The sequence below is a fragment of the Homo sapiens genome, chromosome 15 (genome assembly GCF_000001405.40).
Source record: "Homo sapiens chromosome 15, GRCh38.p14 Primary Assembly".
Taxonomy (NCBI): domain Eukaryota; kingdom Metazoa; phylum Chordata; class Mammalia; order Primates; family Hominidae; genus Homo; species Homo sapiens.
Window position 1 is genome coordinate 82,578,439 of NC_000015.10, and position 14,014 is coordinate 82,592,452.

Here is a 14,014-nt window from a genome sequence, read left to right on the forward strand (position 1 = left end):
TATGGAAACAAAATGTATATATACAGTGTTGAAAATTCCAAGTTGGTGGGCACAGTGGTTCACACCTGTAATCCCAGCACTTTGGGAAGCCGAGGCAGGTGGATCACTGGAGTTCAGGAGCTCGAGACCAGACATGGCGAAACCCCATCTCAACTAAAAAATACAAAAATTAGCCGGGTGTGGTGGCGTGCACCTGTAGTCCCAGCTACTCAGGAGGCTGAGGCAGGAGAATCACTTGAACCCAAGAGGCGGAGGTTGCAGTGAGCCAAGATCATGCCACTGCACTCCAGCCTGGGCAACAAAGCAAGATTCTGTCTCAAAAAAACAAACAAACAAAAAAAACCCCAAGTCATTCCAGCAATAAGTCAGTCATACAAAATTACATGTTTTTTTGTTTTGTTTTGTTTTTTGAGAGAGTCTCACTCTGTCGTCCTGACTGCAATGGCAAAATCTTGGCTTACTACAACCTCCACGTCCTAGGCTCAGAAAATTCTCCTGCTCCAGCCTCCCGAGTAGCTGGGATTATACACATGCACCACCACGCCCAGCTAATTTTTGAACTTTAGTAGAGACAGGGTTTCACCATGTTGGCCAGGCTGGTCTTGAACTCCTGACCTCATGTGATCTACCCACCTCGGCCTCCCAAAGTGCTAGGATCACAGGCATGAACCACCATGCCCAGCCTTAAAATTACATGAGATTTTAAAAGACCTCAATTTATGTCATTAAAAACTATTTCCAGGCTAGGTGTGGTGGCTCACATCTGTAATCCCAACACTTTAGGGGGCTAAAGCAGGAAGATCACTTGAGCCCAGGAGTTCAAGACTGCCTGGGCAACACAGGGAGACCCCGTTTCTACAAAAAGTAAGACAAATAGCTGGACATGGTGGTGTTTGTCTGTGGTCCCAGCTACTGAGGAGGTTGAGGCTACGATGAACCATGATTGCGCCACTGCACTCTGGCTTAGGCGACAGGTACCTTGTCTCAAACAAAAAACAAAACAAGCATTTCCAATAAACAATTATTAAAGAATAAAACTTTATCAAGATTTATAACATTTAGATTGCCTTAATTGCCCTAACAATCATCATTATCACCTTTGAGACACAGGAAATAATTTAAAATTTCAGTTTATGTACTTTTGTTGTTACAGAGAAGGATGACATGTGATCAACAAAAGACTCTCAAGCACGGCCGGGCGCGGTGGCTCACGCCTGTAATCCCAGCACTTTGGGAGGCCGAGACGGGTGGATCATGAGGTCAGGAGATCGAGACCATCCTGGCTAACAAGGTGAAACCCCGTCTCTACTAAAAATACAAAAAATTAGCCGGGCGCAGTGGCGGGTGCCTGTAGTCCCAGCTACTCGGGAGGCTGAGGCAGGAGAATGGCGTGAACCCGGGAAGCGGAGCTTGCAGTGAGCCGACATTGCGCCACTGCAGTCTGCAGTCCGGCCTGGGCGACAGAGTGAGACTCCGTCTCAAAAAAAAAAAAAAAAAAAAAAAAAAAAAAAAAAAAAAAGACTCTCAAGCACAAAATATTACATTAAGATAAAACTCAGCGGGAGAAGTGGACTACAAATACTAGGAGAAAAGAAATAATGGGCCAGGCGCGGTGGCTCACACCTGTAATCCCAGCACATTGGGAGGCCAAGGCAGGCGGATAATGAGGTCAAGAGATCGAGACCATCCTGGCCAACATGGTGAAACCCCTTCTCTACTAAAAATACTAAAAATTAGCTGGGCATGGTGCCACGTGCCTGTAGTCCCAGTTGCTCGAGAGGCTGAGGCAGAAGAATCGCTTGAAACTGGGAGGCGGAGGTTGCAGTGAGCTGAGATCATGCCACTGCACTCCAGCCTGGAGACAGAGCAAGACTCTGTCTTAAAAAAAAAAAAAAAGAAGAAGAAGAAAAAAGAAATAATGAAAAGTTTCCCCCTGTTAAAGAACTGGTTTAAATATTTTAAAATAGATAATAGGTCTCAAATCTCTCTACTATTGTAAATCTACAGTTTCACTTATAATAAAAATGTAGATACCAAGTTAAATATGCAAGGGGTACCCTGTACTAAAAATTTTATTGTGGTAAAATATACATGAAATTTACCACTCTAACCATTTTTGAGCATACAATTCAGAGGCATTAGTACATTCATATTTTTGTGCAAGCATCACTACTCTTCACCTCTAGAGCTTTTTTTACGCTAAGCTAAAATTTTGTACCATTAGACACTAATTCCCCACTACCCTCTCCTCCTAGCCCCTGGTTACCATTATTTTACTTTGTCTCTATGAATTTGACTATTGTAGGGACCTTGTAAGTGGAATTATACAATATTTTTCCTTTGTATCAGGCTTATTTTACTTAGCATAATGTCTTCAAGGTTCCTCCATGTTGCAGTACGTCCCCAATTTCTTTTTTTTTTTTCTTTTTTTGAGACAGGGTCTCCTTCTGTCACCCAGGTTGGGATGCAATGACGCAATAATGGCTCACTACAGCCTCAGCCTCCCAGGATCAAGCAGTCCTCCCACCTCAGCCTCTAAAGTAGATGGGACCACAGGTGCATGTCACCAGCCTGGCTAAATTTTTAGAGATGGAAGTCTCCCCATGTTGCCCAGGCTGTTGCTGAACCTCTGGGCTCAAGTGATCCACCCACCTAGGCCTCCCAAAGTGCTGGAATTACAGGCATGAGCCAATGCCTGGCATGCATGCATTCATTCATTCACTGATAGGATTTTGCTATGTTGTCCAGGCTGGCCCCAAACTCCTGGGCTCAAATGATCCTTCCTTGCCTCACCCTCTCGAGTAGCTGGGACTACAGGTGTGCACTACTGTGCTAGGTTTCCTTTTTAAAGCTCCTAATTTTGCATCGTACACAACATTTTGTTCATCCATCCAATTCATCCACTGATGGACACCTGGGTTGTTTCCTGTTTCTACCTTTTGACTATTGTAAATAGTACTGTTATGAACACTAGCATACAAATATGTGTTCAAGTCCTCGCTTTCAATTCTTTTGTGTGTATACCTAGAAGGAGAATTGCTGGATCATATGGTAACACTATGTTTAATTTTTTTTGGAAGCACCACACTCTTTTCCCCAGCAGCAGTACCATTTTACATTCCCACCAGCAATGCACAAATGTTCTAATTTCTCCATATCCTTGCCGACAATTTACATTTTAATAATGGCCATCCTAACAAGTGTAAACTGGTATCTCATTGCGGTGTACATTTTTTTTAAAAATTAGGTTGTACCCAAATGTTTGAAGATTGCTGTTGCCTAATTCATGAATCCCCAATGTTTTTAAAAATCTCCCCGACACCAGGTTTTTGTTGAATTGCTTTTGTTGAATTGCCATCCAAGTGGTCCTAAAGACAATGGCATCTTCTTGCAGCATTCTACCTCACTGGTTACAGTGATGGTCCCATAGGTAAGTATCTGACTCAAGCTGGGCAAGAATTACCCATTCCCATGACTACAGAGACCAGTCCAGGTATGGGTATGACTTAAGCCAAGCTAGCTGGGTATCTTTCCTTGAGATTTTTCTAACTGTATATAATGGAAAAAGAACTATTTCCTGATTGTCCATGATGCCAAAGGATGTGAGCATATACCCTTTCTCATAACTGGCAACTCTGCAAAAGGAGATAATGAAACTCACACTGGGAAATGAGCAGAGGAAAGACAGAAATAGACAAAATTGGAGGCCACAGATTCAGTATCCCTAGCTTTCCAGTGATTCCTTCCTATTCTATGAGCTTTGTATCAACAGCGTTCCAACATACCCCACATTTTACTAAAGTAAGTTCTAATTTGGTGTTTGATTTTTTACAAACGGGAGTGTTCTGCGTAATTCAGGCCCTTTAGCAAGGATAGACCAAACAAGTAACTACTGCATGCAGGATAAAAATCTCTGGGACAAAAGCCCTTAATATCCTGGCACCAGCTAAGAAAGTCAGCCACAAAAGAAAGCAGGAAAGAAGCTTAAAGACCACCTTGTCAAATTCCTCGCCATCCCGTCTTTTTTTACTAGAAAGCACACAAGGCTCAGAGATGGCCATAAGCGACAAAGCTACTAAAAGGCAGAAGATCCAAATCTCGATTTGTTGGTCTCAAATACAGGGACTAACTGATCCCCTGACCTCTCTCCCACAATGGGACACTTTCTAGACCCAGGTCTACACTCATACATAATAACCCTACTCAGACCTGTTTTATCATTAAGTTAGCAAAGGATCCCTTTTCTGCACTCAGGTCCCCATACTGTGTACTAAACCTATCCCATCATACTAGGAGTTCTTTTTTTTTTTTTTTTTTTTTTGAGACACAGTCTCACTCTGTTGCCCCGGCTGGAGTGCAGTGGCGTGATCTGGACTCACCGCAAGCTCCGCCTCCCGGGTTCACGCCATTCTCCTGCCTCAGCCTCCCTGAGTAGCTCGGACAACAGACACTGGCCACCACGACAGCTAATTTTTTGTATTTTTAGTAGAGATGGGGTTTCATCATGTTAACCAGGATGGTCTTGATCTCCTGACCTTGTGATCCGCCCGCCTCAGCCTCCCAAAGTGCTGTAGGAGTTTAATTCTTAACACTAACTCCCTCACCCTCCCCACTACTCTCTCCACAATCTGCTACTTATTCAGCAGAAAGTCAATTTCACATTCGGGTGTTTCTAAGATTTCGCTGCTATGTGCATATATTATTTTCAAAGGCGATAATTTTACTTCTTACCCATGGAGAGCAAAAAAGACGACTGCTGATTCAAGGCTAGCATCATCCAATCTACTGCTTATGGTATGGGGGAGTTCTGAAGCACGCCATCCTGAAGACTCTGGTTCAGAGTCCTTGAATACAACATGCCATCTAGGTTGTAGGTAACAACTAGTTTTAGTAAAACTAGTATAACCAAAACACAATGAAACATTACTTTACCTGACACTACACTGTTCAAATTGGGGTCTGCAGAAGTTCCTTAAACAGTACATCAAATTGGAGACCCTTTACAGTGCCAATCACGACTGCATCTACATAATATAAAAGCCAGTTATTTAAAACAGGAAGGCAGGGTATTTCCATATAGAGGGTAAATTGGTACAACATTCTGGAGAGCAATCTGACAAAAACATTGAAAGCTTCAAAAGATTTATTCTTTGATAAAGAAATACTACTTTTAGAAATTTATCCTATGTCCAAATAATCACAGATGCAGGCAAAAGCTTTAACTTCAGGTACTTCTTATAAGTGTATAAAATAGGCACCTATTTAAACAAACTCCAAAATACGAAAACTGAATGCCAGAGGTTAACCTTTTTTGTATCATGAACCATTTGGCAGTCTGCTAAAACCAATAAACCTTCTAAGAAAAATGTTTCAAAACATATAAAATAGTAATAATATTGAAATAGTAAATAAATGTCAAGGTATGTACAATGCCTGTAAAGGAATCAATATGAATTGTCTGATCATCCTATTGATACCAAATTATTAGGTCCTGCTAATATTGTGACTTGTTGCCTAAACTTACAGTTAAAAGAAATGCAGCTGGGCTTGGTGGCTCACACCTGTAATCCCAGCACTTTGGGAGGTCGAGGCAGGTGGATCACAAGGTCAGGAGACAGAAACCATCCTGGCTAACAATGTGAAACCCAGTCTCTATTAAAAATACAAAAAATTAGCCAGGCATGGCGGTGGGCGCCTGCAGTCCCAGCTACTCAGGAAGCTGAGGCAGGAGAATGGCATGAACCCGGCAGGCAGAGCTTGCAGTGAGTGGAGATCGCACCACTGCACTCCAGCCTGGGTGACACAGCGAGACTCCGTCTCAAAAAAAAAAAAAAAAAAAAAAAAAGCTACGTTTCAGTTAAACATCACTGAACGTGAAGATACAAGTTTTTACCTGTCTAAATTATTGGACCCCCTGAATTCTATCCATGTACCCAGGTTAAGAATCCCATAATGCAGGCTGGGTGCGGTGGCTCACACCTGTAATCCCAGCACTTTGGGAGGCAAAGGTAGGTGGATCACTTGAGGTCAGGAGTTCAAGACCAGCCTGGCCAACATGGTGAAACCCCATCTCTACTAAAAATACAAAAATTAGCCAGGCGTGGTGGTGGGCACCTGTAATCTCAGCTACTCTAGAGGCTGAGGCAGGAGAATCGCTTGAACCTGGGAGGAGGAGGTTACAGTGAGCCAAGATCACGCCACTGCACTCCAGCCTGGGCAAGACAGAGCGAGACTCCATCAAAAAAAAAAAAAAAAAAATCCCATAATGCATCTATCTACACAGTAAAATGCTATGTAGCCTTGAAAAGGGATATAAAAAATTAACACAAAGATAAAAGAGGCAAATAGTGTGTTCAAAATATTTAATATACACGTTTGAAAAAAAAAACTGGAGAGATACACCAAAATGTTAACAATAGTTATTTCTCAGTAGTAAGATGACATAATTTTTTTTTCCTAATTTGCTTTTTTTTTTTTTTTTTTTACAGTGAACACATTGTAACAAGAAAAAAAATGCAAGCTATTAAACTGGGTAAGGTGACAACATCCCCTAAATAAACTTGAGTAGTTTTTGCAGATAAAAGCCCATATTAGATTTCAAATTTGACATCAGGAGTTCAATGACAAAATGATATTAGGATCATAAATTTAAATAAGCCACAAAACATTAAAAATAAGAGTGACTTTGGAGGGCATTTAGCGGAAGCCCTTTATTTCACAGTAGGAAGACCCTCCCCCCAGTACTAATTCCAGAAGCCTTAAGTGCTGATCTCTGCATAGTTCCCTCTACCCCCATAAATGTACTCATTTATTCTCCAGACAAAATGATGCAACATATCTACGTTTGGAAACTAGACCACATTCTCCAAAGTGGAAGTAATACAGACTGTGATCAAGACACAACCAACAGTTAAGCTTTCAGCGGCAAAGTCTGGACATTCCAGCAGATGGGGGTGGTACCATGCAGAATAAGACTTTCAAAATTTAAATGAAACATCACATTCTCACTTTTCAAGGGAGAAAAAGAGCAGAAAACTTATTTTTGAAGTCCAGGAAGAACTAGGCAACTTACAACTATCACCACATTCCTCAAAACAACCCCATGGAGAAGACAGGCATTATATCCCTTTTACAAGCATTAAAGCCATGGCACAAAACAGGTGAAGCAATTTGACCAAGCTAAGCACTCATCTCATTCAAAACCCGAGCCCTTCCCCCACCATGCCCTTTATACAATTATATTGTAAAATTCCATTTTGTTTTTTAAAATAGCATGCAAGTAATAAGTAAAAGATGATCACTTTCACATCTCGGCAGCGTTCCTTGTCCTCAATCCTACTCTCTTCTCTGAATGAACAGTTTGAGATATTCCTTTTGTACCATTTCCTATGCATTTGTGAACACTGTTACCAACACTGGTACTATTCAACTTTAAGTTCTGCCAATATGATAGGTTAAAAAATACACTACTTAATAAATGAGAATCTTGAGTGTCAGGCACTAGCTAGGCAACCAGGATATAAGTGAAGAAAAAAAAAAAAGTTACAGCTCTTGTCTTTTTGGGTTTACTATTGTAGTGGTAGAGAAAAACCTGATAATGGTGTAAGTGATAAAGTATAATTGTGAGCAAGGTGCTAGGAAGGAAACAGACATCAGGATACAAAAGTATGTAAGGTGGTTTCTGGCCTAATAGGGGAACAGTAGTTAGAATTTCCTTGGGTAAGTATGCCTTTCAGATATTTGTTAACCTCATTTGGAATGTTAATCTAATTTGATTGGAAGGTTGAAGCATTTTTTTCAGATACAAAAAAAAAAAAAGCCACTAGCTATCAATTTTCAGTTTATATCCTTTGCCCTCTTTAAGAATGAGTTCTTATACTGTGGCTTTTCCTTTACATCAATAAGCCAGTACTTATTGTCCTCTAGAAAGAGAAATACCCTAAAAGAAAGAATACTCTAAAAATAATTTTGTTATACTTTTCTAAGCACTATGTTAAAAGTGCTTTAAACTCTAGACTATTTACAGAGGCCTCTAGTTTTAAATGTTATTCCCCTTTAAAAAAAATTACATAAAATAAATTTGATCTCTCCTTCTCTGCGTTTTTGGTCAGAACCAAAAGTTACCTAAGCTACATTTTTGTCCAGGTCAGCCAGATTGCTGGTAAAAACTAACTTCAATCAATCTGCATGAAAATGAGTAGACCACCTACAGTTAGTTTGTATTTCTGTGTTCATCGGGAAAGAATCTAAAGAAGTTGTAGGTTCAGGCTGGTTTCACAGCTATTCTAAATTTAGATTCACACATACAGTGCACATACACTCCCCTCTATACTTAGCGACATGGAATTGCACAGGTGTGAATTCAAGACGATTACTATTCCTAGCCTTTGTTAACATTTTAAAGAGTTAAAAGTTGCTAGTAAGGATGTCTGCTGCCCTAAGCCTGACTTATAGCATTTTCCCCAAGGGATTTTATTCATTAGGAACTAGATGACAATGAATTAACACACTACATACAACTTTGCAACAGAGAAGGAATTGCAATTGTCTTTAAGACAGTTTCAATAGTTGCCACCCCCTAGTTGTAAAAAAGATTATCAGGAAATTCAACATAGGAAAAGATTTAAAAGACTAACAGAAAAAATAACTGTTCTACTTATAAAGAAAATGGGAATTAAAATGAGAATTCTGCTTACCAAAACTGAAAAATTACAGTTACAATATTCAATGGTGATGAGCCATTTAGGTAATTTTTTCTTCTCTATGTATATGGTGAGACAGGACTCTCCAACTGCTGAGACAATCACAGAAGGACAGTATCTCCATCGAGAATTTAACCATCAAGAATTTTTAAAGTATCAAAACTCTTTAACTTGGTAACTGTATTATAAGAATCTCTCTAAATACTCATAAATGCTAAGAAAGATTTACCTACAAAGATGCCTGTCACAATGCAATCAATTGCGAAAACTGAAAATAACTATTCTGTCAAAATGGACTACGAACTTAGCCATTAAAATACATACCTCAGCATATGACAAAGGAGAACACTTAAGTGGCTGGGGAAAGAGAGTAAGTTGTATACAAGACGACAGCTGCATGAAGATATTCAGAAATACGGAGAGAACTCAAAGTCATCAAAAACAACTGAAGTAGACTACAGGTAGTAGCACGTATGAATCTTTACTGAAATTTTCAAATTGTTTATAGCAAATGTAAACTACTCAAAAAAATTCAGATAATTTTAAGAAATTAAAATCTAGGTATGGCTCTCTGACAGAGAAATTCACAATATATATTTAAAATAGTATATTTAAAGAAAGATGAGCTGTCCTAAGAAAATAATTCAGTAAAAAACCTTTCTGGGATGCTATCTGGTCATATGTTTTAAGAGTATGTTTATACCTAAGTACAAACATTGAGAAGTAGTTCAGTACTTCTAAGATTCTACTATGAGGATAACGGCCAAATTTTGTTTTGTTTTGTTTTTGTTTTTGTTTTGAGACAGGCTCTGGCTCTGTCACACAGGCTGGAATGCAGTGGTGTGATCTCATCTCACTGCACCCTCTGCCTCCCAGGCTCAAGCGATCCTCCCACCTCAGCCCCTGGAGCAGCCAGGACTACAGGCACATGCCACCACATCCAACTAGGTTTTTTTTTGTTTGTTTTTTGTTTTTGTATTTTTTTTTTGTAGAAACAGGGTTTCGTCATATTGCCCAGGCTGGTCTCGAACTCCTGGGCTCAAGAGATCCACCTGCCTTGGCCTCCCAAAGTGTGGGATTACAGGTGTGAGTGACCGCATCCAGCCCAAAGGTTTTCTTAATGTGGAAGTTCATCCCCACATTAAGAGTTAATAAAATAATAGCATGTACAACTTCAAACAAGGAGGATATGAAGAATTATCTCCACCTAATTCCCTACCCCAGAGATACCTTTCAAAGATTTTTATGTATACAAGCATGTATACACATAGCTTTTAAAAAATATATGCACAAATGGTCAAATATACCATTTCACATCTTTTTTCAAGTATTTTAAGAGTTCTTTCCATATCTGTATAAAGAAATCAGCTTCATTATTTTATGGCAGCATGGCAGTCCATTCCATGAACATGATGTATCTAACCATTTCTCTACTGATGAGCATTCAGGCTGCTTCTAGTAGTTTTTATTTCTTCTACAAATAAGGCAATGAACATCCCTCAACATTGATCTTGACTTACTTGGGCAAGCATACTTGTTAAATGCATACACCTTACAATCCAGTACATTTAAAATTGATAGCTGTTGGTCAAAATTGACCCAAGAACCACACCCATTTAAATTCCCAACGATATGAGAACTATTTCTTTGTACCCTTACCAAATTTTACTTTTTATGAACCTGACAGGTAAACAATAGAACCCATTGTTTAAATCAATGATGGGATTCTGAGCTGAAGGACAAGGAGTCTACCATATGTTCTTAAGATTGAGTATCTTTCATGTTAATTGTCCCTCTTTTCCCCATCATGTTCCCCATCTTAGAAAACAGATCCACATTAGTGTGCAAGACAAAATGACTCCTCTCTCCCCCATTCCCCGCAATCGTCTTGTTGAACCTAACCTTGAAATTTACACAAAATCTGTCCACTTATTTTGTCTCTATTATTACCATACTAGTCCAAGCCAACACACTTCTCACCTGAACTACTGCAATAGCCTCCCCTATGTTATCTGTGCTTTACCATTCAACACTTCCCACCCCCTGGAAAGCCCTGTACCTCTTAAACATCCCAAGTTCAGGCCCACGCCAAGGCCCTGCTGTTTGTTCTGCTTAATACTCCTGCTCTGGCCTTAAACCAGTTTCTCTACATGGCTGACTACTTGTTATTCAGTCTTCAGCTTAAATGCTACTTTCTGAGAGAGAGACCTCAATTGTATGTGGGGCGGCAATTTAATCACTAACCCCTGCCCCCATCCTAATCATTCCTTATCACATCCCATTGCTCAGTCTTCATATTGCTGAGTATAATTTGAAATTGTGGCCAGGCATGGTAGCTACTGCCTGTAATCCTAGCACTTTGGGAGGCAGAGGCGGGTGGATCACTTGAAGTCAGGAGTTTAGGACCAGCCCGGCCAACATGGTGAAACCCTGTCTCTACCAAAAATACAAAAATTAACCAGACATAGTGGCACATGCCCATAGTCCCAGCTACTCGGGAGGCTGAGGCAGGAGAGGTTGCAGTGAGCCGAGATTGCACCACTGTACTCCAGCCTGGGCAACAGAGCAAGACTCCAACTCCAAAAAAAAAAAAAATTGTATTACAGTCGGCACTCCCTACCTGTGGGTTCCACATCTTTGGATTCAACCAACCGCAGATCAAAAGTATTTTTTAAAATGTGTCCATATTAAACATGTACAGATTTGTCAGTATTCCCGAAACAATACAGTATAACTATTTACACTGCATTAGGTATAAGTAATCTAGAGATAAAGTATATATAAAGGAGGACATGCATGGGTTAGATGCAAATACTGTACCATTTTACATCAGGGACTTCGGCATTTGTGGATTTGGGTTATGCACAGGAGGTCCTGGATTCCCTAAAGATAACTAGGGACAACTTTTGCTTCTACTCCACCGTATTTCTTCATAGCTTTTCTACAGGAGAGCAGACACAGTATCTGCACTTTTCACATCTGTATTCACAACATCTAGAAGAGTTTATTAGTGTTGACTAAAAGAAGTGCAGAATAGTCTTTTCCTATGTGTCCCCTCATCCCTTTGACAAAAAAAAAAAAAAAAAAAAAAAAAAAAAAACAGTTGTTAGTCTCATTAATTCCTAAGAAAACTCTGTAATTCAAGAAAGTTAACCTTCTGTTACCCATTACACATATTTTTTCCTCCTTGGTCACATATTTAAATTATATAATTCAATGGTTTTTAATACATCTAGAATTCTGCAATTGTTACAATTTTAGAGCATTCCATCATCCCCAAAAGAAACCTGTATCCTTTCAGACAAGATCAGGCACACTCAGGGTGGTATGGCTATAGACAGAAACCTGTATCCTTTCAGCAGTCACTCTCTGGGGATTTTTTTTTAAGTTCAGCGATGTGCAGGTTTGTTATATGAGTAAACTCGTGAATTTGTTGTACAGATTATTTTATCACCCAGGTGTCAAGTCCAGTACCCAATGCTTGTTTTTTCTGATCCTCTCCCTTCTCCCACCCAACATCCTCAAATGGGCACCCAACACCCTCAAATGGGCACCAGTGTCTATTGTTCCCTTCTTTGTGTCCATATGTCCTTATCATTTAGCTCCCAGTTGTGAGAACATGTGGTATTTGATTTTGTGATCCTGTGTTAGTTTGCTAAGGATTATGGCCTCCAGCTCCACCCATGTTCCTGCAAAGGACATGATCTCCTTCTTCACGGCTGTGTGTAGTATTCCATGGTGTATACATACTACATTTTCTTTATCCAGCCTATCATTGACAGGCATTTAGGTTGATTCCATGTTTTTGCTATTGTGAATAGCACTGCAATGAACATATGTGTGCATGTGTTTTTATGGTAAAACGATTTATATTCCTTTTGGTACATACTCAGCAATGGGATTGCTGGGTTGAATGGAAGTTGTGTTTTTAGCTCTTTGAAGAATCACTACACTATTTTCCACAATGGCTGAACTAATTTACATTCCCACCAACAGTGTGTAAGCGTTCCCTTTTCCCCCCCGCCACAATCTTACCAGCATCTATTATTTAACTTTTTAATTGTAGCCATCCTGACTGGTGTGAGGTAGTAACTTACTGTGGTTTTGATTTTCATTTGTTTTTTGTTTTGTTGTGTTGTGACACGAAGTCTTGCTCTGTCACCCAGACTTGAGTGCAGTGGCACAATCTCGGCTCACCGCAACCTCTGCCTCCCAGGTTCAAATGATTCTCATGCCTCAGCCTCCCGAGTAGCTGAAATTACTACGGGCGCCTGCCACCATGCCCAGCTAATTTTTGTAATTTTTAGTAGAGACAGGGCTTCACTATGTTTGGCCAGGCTGGTCTCAAACTCCTGACCTCAGGTGATCCGCCCACCTCGGCCTCCCAAAGTGCTGGGATTGTAGGCATGAGTCACTGTGCCCAGCTTGATTTTCTCTCTCCAATGATCAGTTATAAAGCTTTTTTCATATGCTTGTTGTCCACATGTATGTCTTCTTTTGAAAAGTGTCTATTCATGTCCTTTTCAGGACACTATCATTTCCCTCTAACCTCTCCCACCCCTAAGCAACCATGAATCTATTTTCTGTCTCTACAGATTTACCTATTCTGGATATTGCACATAAATTAGATCATACAATATTTAAAAATTTTTTCACTTAGCATGTTTTTAAGATTCATCATTGTTTTAGTTTGTATCAGAACTTTTTTTTTTTTTTTTTTAAGACAGGGTCTTAATCTGTCACCCAGGCTGGAGTGCAAGTGGCACTATCTTGGCTCACTGCAACCTCCACTTCCCAGGTTCAAGCCATCCTCCCACCTCACCCTTCTAATTAGCTGAAGCTACAGGCGTGTGCCACCACATCCAGCTAATTTTTGTATTTTTTGTAGAGATAGGGTTTTGCCATATTTCCCAGGCTGGTCTCGAACTCTGGCTCAATTGATCCGCCCGCCTCAGCCTCCCAAAGTGCTTGGATTACAAGCAGGAGCCACCACGCCCAGCCAGAACTTCAGTTATTTTTATTGCCAAATAACATTTTATTGAATGGATATATATATGGGTATACCCTGGAGACACTGCAGGTTCAGTTGCAGACCACCTCAAAGTGAATACTACAATAGAGTCACAACCTTTTTGGTTTCCCAGTGCACATGGAAGTTGTTTTTAGGCCAGGCATGGTGGCTCACGCCTGTATTCCTAGCACTTTGGGAGGCAGAGATGGGCGGATCACTTGAGCTCATGAGTTTGAGACCAGCCTAGGCTACATGGTGAAACCCCATCTCTACCAAAAATACAGGGACTGGTACGGCATGC

At 40.2% G+C, this 14,014-nt stretch overlaps 1 protein-coding gene across 26 annotated transcripts in view; it reads right to left on the minus strand.

Annotated features, from left to right (window-relative positions):
- The window catches only part of CPEB1 (cytoplasmic polyadenylation element binding protein 1), a 105,595-nt gene that overhangs the window by 35,238 nt on the left and 56,343 nt on the right, over positions 1 to 14,014 (minus strand). The window contains exon 4 of one of the 26 annotated variants that reach the window (NM_001387072.1): positions 4,933 to 5,024. The exons of the other annotated variants lie outside the window; for them this stretch is intronic. The gene's annotated coding sequence lies outside the window, so the exon portion shown is untranslated. The remainder of the gene's footprint in view (positions 1 to 4,932; positions 5,025 to 14,014) is intronic. 26 annotated transcript variants of the gene reach the window in all.